Here is a 14373-nt window from a genome sequence, read left to right as displayed (position 1 = left end):
ACAAAGAAACCCAAGCTGGGGAGGCAGGTGAGTGAAAACCAGAGAGATAGAAGGTGAGATGACTCAGGTGTTGCTGTGGTCCTGGCCCAAGCACAGGGCAGCAGGGGAGAGGTGCCCTGAGGCTGGATCTGGGGCCATGGGCCCTCGGGTGGAGAACGTCCTCCTCAGAGCAAGCTGGAGCCACTGGCCTCAGAGGTCTTCAGGGCCCAGGATGGTGGCGTCTTCTTCCCTCTGGCTCCCCTTCACTGGGCCCATGTAGTCCCCACCTTCATGCATCCTGGGGAATGGGGAACTGGAATGGCTCCCATGAACTGGAATGGCCAGCCTCCCTCAGCAGTAAAATAGTCTCTTGTGCAAGGATTAAATGGCATATAATACATAAAATACACCTTGCCTGGCACACAGTGGCACTAAGTCATGTCAGTGCCTTGCCCCACACCCCTGGTGGGCACCATCCCTGCAGATTTTCCCATGGTCACTTCTTCTAGTGAAGTCGGAGTACACAGAGAGCCTCTTTGCGTGGGGCTCCATGGAGGAAGAGGGATGCAGAGGGCTTGAGACCCCTCGCCCTGCCCAGGAGGGGTGAGTGACTCTTGCACCTGTACCTTATCCAGTTTGGGAAGTCCCTTCACTTCCCTTGGCCCCTATTCACCCCTAGCTCCTTCTCAGCCAGCCTCCTCCAGCCCAGCCCTCCTGTCCCTGGAAACTCCTCCAGGCTCCTGCCCTCCTACAGCAATCGCACCCCCCACCATGTCCCAGAGCACAGTCTCTGGGCTGCTCCCTTCCATCCTGGAGGTCCTGCAGTGTGTGGTCTAGGGCCAGGTCCTCAATCACTGCGCCTTGTTTCCTCATCTATTATTCCCTTATCGTTACTCTTCCCTGGAGATACAGGAGGGGAAATGTTGTGCTCATCAAATAGTCACTGAGTTCCAGAGGGGTATAGGAAGCCCATTTATTAGGCCACACTGTCCTTTTAAAATTTCTACCTCCAGCCGGGCACAGTGGCTCACGCCTATAATCCCAGCACTCTGGGAGGCTGAGGTGGGAGAATCGCTTGAGCCCAGGAGTTTGAGACCAGCCTGGGCAACATGGAGAAACCCCGTCTCTACTAAAAATAGAAAAATTAGCTGGGCATGGTGGTACGTGCCTGTAGTCCCAGCTACTTGGGAGGCTGAGATGGGAGGATCATCTGAGTCTGGGACGTGGAGGTTGCAGTGAGCTGAGACTGCACTACACCACTTCACTCCAGCCTGAGCCACACAGTGAAACTCTGTCTCAAATAAAATACAATAATAAAATAAAATAAAATAAAATTCCCTAACAAGAGCCTGATCACCAGGTGGCCTGTTTACAGGAGACCAGCCCCATGGCAGCATGTCTGTGAAATGGTAGATTTTGTGTGGTCAGAAGGATGTTTAAGCTGTCAGGTAAAGTTAAAAGAGCTTGAAAGACTGGGTGAGGTAGCTCATGCCTGTAATCCCAGCACTATGGGAGGCTGAGTCGGGCGAGTCACTTGAGGCCAGGAGTTCAAGACCAGTCTGGCCAAAGAACTTTGGTAGAGACGGGGTTCCGTAGAGATGGAACCCCATCTCTACCAAAAATACAAAAAGTAGCCGAGCATGGTGGCACACACCTGTAGTCCCAGCTACTTGGGAGGCTGAAGTGGGAGAATTGCTTTAACCCAGGAGGTGGAGGTTGCAGTGAGCAGAGATTGTACCACTGCACTCCAGCCTGGGGGACAGAGCGAGACCCTGTCAAAAAAAAAAAGAGCAAGGAAAGAACCATGTGTTACAGCACCACCTCTTCGGCTGAACATTGTCTTTAACAGACACACATGTATACATATACACTAGCGTGGGCATGACATTTTTTTCTGGCAGGCTACCTGAGAAACTATTAAGCGGTCACCTTCAATGAAAGGTTGGGAAAAGAGGGGAGAGTTTTATCTTCATTTTATACTTTTTGTTTGACTTTCCTACCATGTGAATATATTGTTATTATTTTTTATTATATTTTATTTTTGAGACAGAGTCTCGCTCTGTCGCCCAGGCTAGAGTGCAGCGGCGCAATCTCGTCTCACTGCAACCTCTGCCTCCCGGATTCAAGCAATTCTGGTACCTCCCGGTAGCTGGGATTACAGGCATGCGCCACTACGCCCGGCTAATTTTTGTATTTTTGTAGAGACAGATTTTCGTATTTTTGTGGAGACAGATTCTCGTCATGTTGGTCAGGCTGGTCTCAAATTCCTGACCTAATGATCCGCCTGCCTCGGCCTCCCAAAGTGCTGGGATTACAGGTGTGAGCCACTGCACCCAGCCTGTTATTATTTTTTAAATGTCCAACAGATATTATCTGAGTGCTTGGGATGAGGGGCCTTTCTGTTCTTTTTCTGTGGTGTCAAAGAAGAAAGAGGTAATGGAAGTTGGCAGGAAACAGCTATGGGTTTGTTGGGTCTTGCTGTTGGGGGCAGGGCCTGGCTGCGGACAAGAGGCTGAAAGGCCCAAGGACCCCAGAAGGGGATGGAGGAGTCACTGCATGGGGTGGGGGTCCTGCCCAGCCACCCACTGGCTGGGCAGCCTCTGAGGGGCCTGGGTGGGGCCTCAGGCTTTGGAGCGCTCTCTCCCTGTTGAGCTAAGCCTCCCAAAGCACCAGCTCCTTTACTCAGGGGGCACGAAACAAGACCTCTGTCTGTGTGCCTGAGGTTTGCCCACAGTTTGCATGTCCCCCCACTGCCTGTCCTCTTCCTGAGCCTCTGGCCGTGGCCTGTGGCAGATGGAAGGCGGAGGTGAAGGAGATCTCAGGCCAGGGGCTCTCTGATGAGTCTTGCCATGTCTGCTCACAGCTGCCTCCCTCCATTCCTGTGGCAGATGACCGGGCAGGAGCCACACCTTGCTGGCTACTCCTGGAGGGCCTGGGGATGCCCAGGGCTGCAGGGGTGCAAAGATGACACCCCACATATCCCCATGGTCGGGCCAGACAGGCTCCCTAGGTTGCCATTGCTCCTGGCCCAGCCCCAGATGGGGCAGGCTGTGGTTTCTGGGGTCAATCACCCCTGCACTGACCACCACGCCAAGCCATGCCCCTCATCCCTAGTGGACAGAGACCTCCCCATACATCCCTGAGGCGGGAAAAGTGCTGTGAGCTCCATTTCACAGGCTGAGAAACTGAAGGCCAGGTTGGTAAAGTGACTTGCCAAGGACATGGTGAGCTGGTGACAGCATAGAGCCTGAGAGCCAGGTGTCTCTCCATCCTGGTGCTCGCCCCTTAAGGGCGGGCTGATAAGAAATGAAGTTAATAGGATCTCAGGATTATGTGAGGAAAAGCCTGCCCTAAAAGTGACCCGCAGCCTGTGATCCCAGCACTTTGGGAGGCCGAGGCGGGCGGATTGCTTGAGCTCAGGAGTTTGAAACTAACCTGAATAACATGGTGAAACCCCGTCTCCACAAAAAAAAATGCAAAAATTAGCCGGGTGCGGTGGCAAGCGCCTGTAGTCCCAGCTGCTCAGGAGACTGAGGTGGGAGGATCACTTGAGCCCGGGAGGTAGAAGCTGCAGTGAGCCAAGACTGTGCCACTGCGTTCCAGCTGGGGCTACAGAGTGAAACCCTGTCTCAAAAAAAAAAAAAAAGAAAGAAAGAAAGAAAGAAAACTTATGTCTGCTGCACAAAAAACTGCACACAGATACTTATAGTAGCTTTATTCATAATTGCCAAAACATGAGCATAACCAAGATGTCCTCCAGTAGTTAAGGGAGAAATAAATTGCGGGACATCCAGACAATGAAATATTATTAAATGCTAAAAAGAAATGAGCTATTGATTGGGCGTGGTGGCTCACACCTGTAATTCCGGCACTTTGGGAGGCCAAGGCAGGCGGATCACCTGAAGTCAGGAGTTCGTGACCAACCTGGCCAACATGGCAAAACCCCATCTCTAATAAAAATACAAAAATTAGCTGGGTGTGGTGGTGCGTGCCTGTAATCCCAGCTACTAGGGAGGCTGAGGCAGGAGAATCATTTGAATCCAGGAGGCAGAGGTTGCAGTGAGCTGAGATTGCGCCACTGCACTCCAGCCTGGGCAACAGAGTGAGACTCCATCTCAAAAAGAAAAAAAAAAGAAATGAGCTATCAAGTCATGAAAAGACATGGAGGAAAAACTTCAGTGCATATCACAAAGTGAAAGAAGGCAATCTGAAAAGTTACGCATGCTGTATGATTTCAACTATATGACATTTGGGAAAAGGCAAAACTATGGAGACAGTAAAAAGATGATCGGTAAAAAGGTGGTCCTCTGGGGCTGAGAAGAGGGAGAAATGGGTAGATGGAGCACAGAGGATTTTAGGGCAGTGAAACAACAGTGTATGATGTCATTATACATTTGTCCAAACCCACAGAATATACAAGGCCAAGAGTGAGCCCTAATGCAAACTATGGACTTTGGGTGATACTATGTGTCAATGTAGGTTCATTGATTACAACAAATGAACCACTCTGGTGGGAGATATGGATAATGGGGGAAGAAGGAGGTATATGAGCATTCTATAGTTTCTGCTCACTTTTGCTGAGAAGCCAAAACTCTAAAAAAGAAAGCCTTTTTTTTTTTTTTTTTTTTTTTTTTGAGATAGGGTCTTGCTCTGTCATGCAGGCTGGAGTGCAATGGCATGATCACGGCTCACTGCAGCCTCACCCTGTCAGACTCTAGTGATCCTTCCCACCTCAGCCTCCCAAGTAGCTGGGACTACAAGTATGCACCACCACACTGGGCTACTTTTTGTATTTTTTGTAGAGACCAGGTTTCCCAGGCTGGTCTCAAACTCTGGGGATCAAGTGATCTGTCCACCTTGGCCTCCCAAAGTGCTGGGATTACAGACATGAGCTACTACACCTGGCACAAAGTCTATTTTTAAAAAAGTGACCCAGGAGCAAGGGTTCCAAAGAGCCCCTCTTGACCCTCTCCCCAAGGCCCTTTCTGGTCCATGCCAGCGGGGAGGTGGGTTAAGGGATGCTCAGCTCCTTCCCAGCATGAGGAAGTGAGACAGGCTTTGGTCGGCTCCCAGTGTTGGGGGCTGCAAGACAGCAGGCCCATCTTCACCCCTCTCATCTCCCCTCACACTTCCTGGAGGAGCCTCAAAGGTCCTTGGCCGTTGGCTCCCTTCTCCCCAGCTTCCTGTTTGGGTTCCACAGAGAGGTTTGGCCGTTTCTGCAGCTGAACTGGGAGCCAGTTGAACTGGTGAGAGGGAGGACACTTGCTGGGGAGTGGGTTGAGGGGCTGCCAGTCCAGGGGGCAGCAGCTGGGGGTTGGTTGGAGCCTCAGCTAAAATCATTTGGAGGCTCAAATCCTCAGGCCTGGAGCCTTTAAGACCTCAGTTAGTTCAGCCTCTACCTGGATGCAGCACATATTGGGGTTGGGCCGCTGAGCCGTAGACATCACCTTAGCCTGCTACAGCCGTACAGGCACCTTCTTACTGGTGTGACTTGAGCAGTCCACTTTGTCCAGCCAAGCCCCAGGTTCACCATCCGTGAATTCCCACTCCGTAGGCACACAGGCTGGTAATCAGCACTTACTGTTATGGCAGATGGAGCCCATACTTTGGACACATCAGAAGACAGGAAACCCAGCCTGTCCCCTACTCCTTCCTACCTGCCTCTTACCCTCTGCTCCTTGCGGCCCCTCACACCGCAAACTTGATCCTAGCTCCAGACCTGCCAGGGGTCTTGGGGAGTAGATGACAGGCCCGCCCTCAGAAAACCCAGGGTGGTTCAGGCTAGAGACAGACATACTTTGCTAAGTGGTCACTCGAGGTAGCAGCGTGGGAAGGCTGAGTTTCAAGGAAAGATTCTTAGGGAAAGAGTGTTTCAGCCAGGCATGGTGGCTCACGCCGATAATTCCAACACTTTGGGAGGCCAAGGTAGGAGGATCACTGGAGCCCAGGAGTTTGAGACCAGCCTGGGCAATATACTGAGGCCCTGTCTGTACAAAAATTTTTGAAACTTAGCCAGGTGGTACACACCTGTGGTCCCAGCCACTGGAGAAGCTGATGTGGGAGAGGTGGGAGGATCACCTGAGCCCACCAGGAGGTTGAGGGAGCCACGATGGCACCACTGCACTCCAGCCTGGGCAACAGAGGAGATCTTGTCTAAAAAAAACAAAGAAGAGAGTCTCAAGTCAGTTGTTTCAGAGTGAGTGGAGATAGCCCAGCACAGAAAGCTGGGCAAGGGGGCCGGGTGCGATGGCTCATGCCTGTAATCCCAGCACTTTGGGAGGCCGAGGCAGGTGGATCACCTGAGGTCAGGAGTTCAAGACCAGCCTGGCCAACATGACAAAACCCTGTCTCTATTAAAATACAAAAATTAGCTGGGCATGGTGGCGAGCGCCTGTAATCCCAGCTACTCCAGAGGCTGAGGCAGGAGAGTCACCTGAACCCAGGAGACGGAGGTTGCAGTGAGCTGAGATTGCGCCACTGCATTCCAGCCTGGGCAACAGAGCAGGACTCCGTCTCAAAGAAAAAAAGAAAGCTGGGAAAGGGGATCCCATTAGCAAATACCCAGAGGTAAGGCGGGTACCTGATGTGGACAGGCTCCCACTCATCCTGCCTCCTCTACTCTACTCCCTGGGATCCAAGACTGGCCAAAGGCCTCAGGTGCCCTGAGGTATCAGCAGGATCACAGTCCCTGCAGGTCCTGGCTCTGTCTGCCCCCACCAGGAAGCAGGCTCACCAGGTGAGCAGAGGCTGAGGTCACTGTAGTGCTTGCTGGCTACAGGGAGGGGATTGGGCCTGACTCACAGGGCCCACAGGACACAGCCCTCCAGCTGTGGCTGGGAAAGGACGGCCCTGCCCCCAGGGAGGCCACACCACATACCCTGGAGCCAGGGAGGGAGGACGGCACTGCAGGGGCTGCCGCCAGAGGGGCATGCCCACGTGGGCCCCACCTCAGCAAGGCTATTTACAAATAGGAAAGGCAACGCCTTCCTTCAGTGGAGTGTGTTGGGGAGAAGCTTCTCTTTGTGGGTGCACAAAGGGATGTTTGGGAGTCGGAACTCTGCAGGGTTGGGGTTAGGAGTAGAGAGGTACCCAGCTCCTGCTTCTCCAGCCCCAGCACAGCTACATCCTCCTGCCGCTGCTCCTAGGAAGGGTCCCAGGAAAGGAGAGTGTGAGCCCAAAGTGTGGGCTGGCCCCTGGCACCACGGTGCCCTGGCAGAGAACTGCCTCCCTCAGGAGATGAGGGCCTTCCGGGGCCAGCTGCTTGGCCTCCCCCTTTAGAATGGGGCCTCCTGGGGGCGGAAGCCGAGTCTTCTTCCAAGACAGAACCAGGGGCTCTCCTTCTTTCCGTTCTCCATGTCCCCTGGCAGTTCTGTGCCCATTTTCTCTGGTGACATATGGCCTGGGCCCGTGATGTCAAAGGGTCTCTGCTTCTTTTCCTTGGACTGTAGGGCTGGCCATCCCACGCCAGACCTTCTCCCTGGTCCATGAGGGTTTGGAGGGGAGGTAGGGCTGAGGAACGGTTGATGGGAGGAGAAGAAGGCAGGGCTGATACATAATTTGTGGAGTCCAGTCTAAAATGGAAAGTCAGGGCCCCGTGGTGGCTCACACCTGTAATCCCAGCACTTTGGGAGGCCAAGGCAGGCGGATCGCTTGAGGTCAGGAGTTCAAGACCAGCTTGGCCAACATGGTGAAAACCCATCTCTACCAAAAATACAAAAATTAGCCAGGCATGGTGGCATACACCTATAGTCCCAGCTACTTGGGAGACTGAGGCACGAGAATTGCTTGAACCCGGGAGGCTGAGGTTGCAGTGAGCCAATACCGCGCCACTGCACTCCAGCCTGGGCAAGGGATCGAGACTCTGTCTCAAAAAAAAAAAAAAAAAAAAAGGAAAAGAAAAGAAAAAAAGAAAGTCAGGGCCCCTTGCCCTTGCTCAAAATTTTTAAATTCCAGGATGACATTAACAGAGCATTAAACCAACCATGGGGCTGCATAGGTCACTGTTCATGAAGCCAGCCCTGCAGGAGAGGGCAGGTGTTCCAGAATCAGGGCCCTTGGTGGGGAAAGGAAAGGAGGTTGGAGCAAGGACCCAAGGTCCCTGCTGGACCCCCAGAAAACAAGGGAAGTGAGGCTGATGAGGCTGGATGGCACCAGATGCAGAGGGTCCTGAACACTCAAACTTGACCCTGATCCTAGAGGTAGACACTGAAGATTCCTGAGCCACAGGGAAGTGGGCCAGGGAGGCTGGGTCAGGGCAGCAGAGACATTAGACCTGGGAGGGCCTTCGAAACTCATCTGCTTGCCCTTTCCTGAAGAGGAGACTGAGGCCCAGAGAGGGACCAAGACCCGCCCAAGGTCACCCGGCAAAGGGTGCAGAGCTGGGCCAGAGCCCTGGCTGCCTAGAATCTTGTCTCAGGTTGTGCGGCGAATTAAGTTGAGAGCTGATGTGCAGGGTAGGAGGGCAGCTGGTGCTGGGCCTCTGGTGTCTGTGTTCACCTAAGGAGTAGGACCCACCCTCCCAGCACCTCTGAGCCGGCACTTTCCTTTCCTGGGTGCTCTTCTCCTCTGGCCCTGCCTCAGGGTTTCCTGTGTCCCTCTCACTTGGGGTCCATCCTCTTGCTTCTCTGCTGCCTTCCATACTTGGCCCAGGAGCGGAGCCTCACTAGGCATCTGGACTTTTGGAAAATTCCTGCCCCACCCCCTACCCCACTGCCAGCCTGGCCTTCAGGGGCACTGAGTGGGGGACCCTGTGACAAGAAGATAGCCAAAGGCCGGACGCGGTGACTCCCGCCTGTAATCCCAGCACTTTGGGAGGCTGAGGCGGGTGGATCACCTGAGGTCAGGAGTTCGAGACCAGCCTGACCAACATAATGAAACCCCATCTCTACTAAAAATACAAAAAATTAGCTGGGCATGATGGCGGGCGCCTGTAATCCCAGCTACTTGGGAGGCTGAAGCAGGATAATCACTTGAACCCAGGAGGCGGAGGTTGCAGTGAGCTGAGATGGTGCCATTCCACTCCAGCCTGGGCAACAACGGTGAAAGTTCATCTCAAAAAAAAAAAAAAAGAAGGCAGCCAAGGCCCACAAGGTTCCTCCAGGCCCCAGCTACCCTATTTCCTCTAGCCTGCCCCTGTAATGTAACCAGATGACCTGTCGCCTCCCTATTCTCCCTGCATTCCAGGGCCCACCTAACGCATCTGGAGGCCTCACGGAGGCCTTGGGGCCCCCTGAGGACCACAAATCCGTTACTTCTCAGTGCCCTTAGGGACATGGAGAATGGTCCAAAAACAGTCTATGCAAATACATGCAAAAGAGATGTAAATAGAAATGTGAGCATCCCCAGTTAAAGCCAATTTCGGCTTTAAGTGTTGCTTCCCTCCTCTCTGCTTTGCCTGAGTCATCAAAATTTGTGAGTTTGTGTGAATGAGTGAGAGTGCGTGTGGGAGAGAAAGAGAGACAGACAGAAACACAGGGCAAAAGACAGCGTGGCAGGCTGGGCGGGAAACCTGGCTCAAAGTGTGTGTGCTGTGCTGGGATATGGGAACACTGCTTATGGCTGAGAAGCTCGTATTATATGTTTCCCGGACTCCCCACTATCCCCTGACAAACCCTGGGCTCACTGTCAAGGATGGGGGAGCTGGACTGTGGGGAGCAGTGGTCCAGGGAGGAGGTGAGGGGCAAAGGGGAGCAGGTTGAGGTTCTCAAGGATGTACTGGGGGTTCAGCTCTGAGTCTAAGACAAGGGGCTGGGGCCCCAGAGGAAACCTCTGAGCCCCTGAGGTATGGGTCTGGAAGCCCCATCAGTGCCAGTCAGAGGCCATCCCCTTCCTTAGTGTTGCTGCTGCCCTGAGGAACTCGTGTGGGAGCCACTGGGCCAGCGAGGCTCTTGACCTTCGGGGGCCTTTCTTTCCTCATCTGTAGACACAAGCGCTGGTGTGAGGAAACCGCAGTGCAATGCTGATTCTACACCATCCTGCACTGGTAAGATGATTTGTAACATGCAGGAAGAAGGAAAATGGCAGGTCCTTCTAGACGTCTCTGCAAAAAACTTAGTAAAACATCTTAAAGGAATGAGCCCCATTTTAGGAGGGAGAGAGAAATCCCCATCTAGAGCCAGTGGGTCTCCACGTGGAGTCTCCTTGGGTCATATCCTCGGTTCTGAGGAGATCAGGGGCACCCTTACTTGGAAGAGCTAAAGTCATCTCTCCCACATAATGGAGGCCATAAGCGGTTGTTAAGTGTTCAGGTATCAATACAGGTGAGAGAAAGTTGAAAGGAGAAAGGGGCCAGGCGCAGTGGCACACGCCTGTAATCCCAGCACTTTGGGAGGCTGAGGAGGGAGGATCGCTTGAACCCAAGAGTTTGAGACCAGCCTGGGCAATATAATGAGATCCCCAAGTCTACAAAAATAATTTTTTTTTTTTTTTTTGAGATGGAGTCTGGCTCTATTGCCCAGGCTGGAGTGCAGTGGTGTGATCTCGGCTCACTGCAAGCACCGCCTCCTGGGTTCACGCCATTCTCCTGCCTCAGCCTCCAGAGTAGCTGGGACTACAGGCGCCCGCCACCACGCCCCGCTAATTTTTTGTATTTTTAGTAGAGACAGGGTTTCACCACATTAGCCAGGATGGTCTCGATCTCCTGACCTCGTGATCCACCCACCTCGGCCTCCCAAAGTGCTGAGATTTAAAAAAATTTTTTTAAATTAGTCAGGCATGGTGGTGCACACCTGTGGTCCCAGCTATTTCGGAGGCTGAGGCAGGAAGACCACTTGAGCCCAGGAGGTCAAGGCTGCAGTGAGTTATGATCGCACCACTGCACTCCAGCCTGGGTGACAAAGCAAAACCATGTCTTAAAAAAACAAACAAAAAGGCCGGGCGCGGTGCCTCACACCGGTAATCCCAGCACTTTGGAAGCCTGAGGAGGGTGGATCACTTGAGTGAAGTCAGGAGTTTGAGACCAGTCTGGCCAACATGGTGAAACCCCGTCTCTACTAAAAATACAAAAATTAGCCAGGAGTGGTGGTGTGTGCCTGTAATCCCAGCTACACGGGAGGCTGAGGCAGGAGAACGGCTTGAACCCAGGAGGAGAATGGCTTGAACCCGAGAGGCAGAGGGTGACAGAGTGAGACTCCATCTCGAAAGAGAGAAAGAAAGAAAGAAAGAAAGAAAGAAGGAAGGAAGGAAGGAAGGAAGGAAGGAAGGAAGGAAGGAAGGAAGGAAGGAAGGAAAGAAAGAAAGAAAGAAAGAAAGAAAGAAAGAAAGAAAGAAAGAAAGAAAGAAAGAAAGAAAGAAAGAAAGAAAAGCAAGCAAGCCACACATGGTTGGGAACTGTGGCTGAAAAGAAGCTGAGCTTGGGGCCTAGACAGCTGTGGCAAGAACGGTGTTAGGTCCTTTTCAGTTTTGTATGGCTTTTGCACCAGGCAGGCCAGCTTCTGCCATTTCCTGTCTGTTTGAGCGTGGCCAAGTCCTTTAATTTCACCCAGCCTCAGTTTCGCCATCTGTAAAATGGGGATGACATTGCCTGTCACTAGGCCTGCAGTGTCAATGCAGTTCACTGACATGCAGAGAGAGCAGTGCAGGCCCAGGCTACGGTGGGGCTTACGTACCATAGTAACTTACCCACACAGTCATCTGGGGCTTCCCCACAAACAGGAATGAGAGCATATCAATAGAGTTATTATTTGAATAAATAATTCCATTTTTCTATATTTATAGAAAAAGACGCAGGTGAACCCTGTGTCATACTGCCTGTGGTTCCTGCTGTGGGGAGGGTGACCATGGCTTCACCCAGGGGCAGGCCCTAGGCTTAGGTGAGATAGAGCAGTCCCCGCCCCCAGCGCTCGGAGGCTGTGCACTTAAACTTCAAAGGACCTTCCAACAGATGCAGCTGGTTTCCTGCAGCCGTGCAGCAGCCAATGCCAGCCTGAATCACCCCGGCCTAAGGGAAGCTGGGGAGCAGAGGCCCGCAGAGACCTTAGCCCAGGTTAATATGAGAGGCTTCCTGGAGGCAGAACACACCCAGATTCTAACTGCTAGAAGAAAGAAGAGAATGGCGTGTTGGGGAGTTGCTGTAGCCCAGGGTGTTGGGGCCTGGGATGTGTAGATTCAGAGGGGTCTTTAGGAGGAACGACTTGGGAGATAAGAGCGATAAGAGCACTGATAAACGAGGTCACAGGTAGGAATGTAACCTGCGGACTCTCCAAGCCCCAGGAGTAGCTGGGTTCAGGCAGGTCCTCTCCTCCAGAAGGCCCACCAGGAGTGCCTACAGTGGTGTAGCTTGCAGCTTCCAAGCTACAGGAAGAGTCCTTGGGTCTGTGCTGTGGGTATGAGAGAGTGAGATGGGGTGGACACGGGCCAGGGCCAGGGCCAGGGCAGGATGGGGGCATGGGGAAGTGGTATCCCTAAGCAAGGGGCTTAGAGGCCCTGTGTGGGGCTGGCCCACGGCAGGTGGGAGGGATTTTTAGGTAGGCTCAGGTGCAGATGGAGACATTACGCCGTGGCCCCACAGGTGGTTAATATTTAATCTCCTCCTTAATCATTAACTCCCTGGCTGGCTGGGGAGGAACAGGGCTGTTGTCAAATCAGTAACCACAGGCCCAGGAACAATGTCCACAGATCTCATGGCCTCTCCCATTGCTGGCCGAGTGGGGTAACCCCTGGCCCTGGGGGCCAGGTGCATCTCCCTCCCACGGTGACCTTGGGCCATGGAGAGGGCTTGAAGAGGCCAATCCTCTCCGAGCCCCTGGATCGCCCTTTACCCTCCACCCTCTACTTACTGGTGGGGAGTGGTGGGAGGTGGTGTCCATTCACGCATGAGGGTTCTAGTCCCTACCCACTCCTTCCAGGCTGTGTGACCTTGGGCAACTCACGTAGCCTCCCTGAACCTCAGTTTCCTCATCTGTGCAATGAGGATAATTATTCGTGTCTTGGAGGATTGTCATGAGATTTGAATGAGAGGAGGGTATACAAGGAAGTACTTTCTAAGCTGACGATTGAGTTAGCAAACAAGTTAGAGAAAGTACAGATGGGAAGAGACAGAGAGCAAAGGGTAAAGAGGAAAGAAAACAGCTTGAGAGCTCTTGTTTCCATCCACCCAAATGCAGTTCCTTTCCTTGGAGTTTGTTTTAATTCATTCAAGGAGTGTTGATTGATAAGGCTGTGTCTCCCTAAGTGGGGCTTTAGGGGTAATTTAAAAAGGAGTCAACCTCACCCTCAGGGAGCAAGAGTGACCAGGCTCCAGGGCTGAACCCAGCAGTGTCTGGGATGAAGGTCAGCAGGTCAGTGGGATGGGCTGGAGGGTCAGAGCAGGCCTTAAGGCTGAAGCAGGGCGGGGAGAGGATCCTGAGGGATGATTAGGAGTTGCGTGTGGAGGTGTAGGGAGGACTGTGCGTGCAAGCTTGCACCTAGGGATGTTTGTGTCCTTGAATTCAAGCACATAAGCAGACTATCTGAACACAGCCTGTCGCGAGGGTACACATGAATCACCCACAAACTCAGAGTAGTCAGCCACCCACCCACAAACACACACACACAGATGCACACGGTCACCCCAGGGGCGTGTGGACACACCAGCACCTTGGGATGGCAAGGCCCTCCTCTTCCAGCCCCAGCCCTGAGGCTTTCTGGATAACTTAGCATATGTGTCCCCCAGTTTGTGTGCTTTCTGGGCCTGGCTGACACCCATCACAGGACTGAACACTTCTGGCGTTCCAAAGTCTTCAGGTACATCAAGAAGCCACGGTATCCTCTCAAAGCCACCAGGTCTCCAGCTGGGACCCAGTGAGTGTGGATGTGAGGGAGCTGTAGGCAGAGAGCTTGGAGCTGGTATGGAGCCCTGGACACATCGCTGCCTGGGACAGGAGACAGGGCAGCTGGACATTGCAAACCCTCCCTGACCACTCCCCAGCCTGTGGGAGCAGGTGGAGGCTGGCCTGGGGGCAGCAGCTGGCGCTTCTTGGAGGAGGTGGGCATGGAGCTGGCCTTTAGAATGGAAGGATTTGAGGGGCAGAGATAGGTCGCAGGGAGCTACTGGAGCCCCCAGGAGCCAAGCCCCCAGCCCTCCTCTGGGTGGTTCACTCACATGCCACACTTGGGCTGGGCCCAGCCTGCCAGAACCAAAAAGAAGCCAAGCAGTGACTTTTTTTTTCTTTTCTTTTTTTTTTGTGAGACAGAGTCTCACTCTGTTGCCCAGGCTGGAGTGCAGTGGCTCAATCTCAGCTTACTGCAACCTCTGCCTCTCAGGTTCAAGCGATTCTCCTGCCTTAGACTCCCAAGTAGGAGTAGCTGAGACTACAGATGCATGCCACCATGTCCAGCTAATTTTTGTATTTTCAGTAGAGATGGGGTTTCACCATATTGGCCAGGCTGGTCTTGAACTCCTGACCTTGTGAGCCG

At 53.1% G+C, this 14373-nt stretch overlaps 1 annotated feature.

The window, feature by feature from the left end:
• Window positions 11936-12855: an enhancer, noted in NCBI's record as "H3K4me1 hESC enhancer chr2:43421149-43422068 (GRCh37/hg19 assembly coordinates)". NCBI's record gives its function as "activates a minimal SCP1, AML or CMV promoter by ChIP-STARR-seq in naive H9 embryonic stem cells {active_cell/tissue: H9 hESC(naive)}" and the evidence as "EXISTENCE:reporter gene assay evidence [ECO:0000049][PMID:30033119]".

The sequence above is a fragment of the Homo sapiens genome, chromosome 2, assembly GCF_000001405.40.
Source record: "Homo sapiens chromosome 2, GRCh38.p14 Primary Assembly".
Lineage (NCBI taxonomy): Eukaryota > Metazoa > Chordata > Mammalia > Primates > Hominidae > Homo > Homo sapiens.
This window is presented reverse-complemented; position numbering and strand designations above follow the sequence as displayed.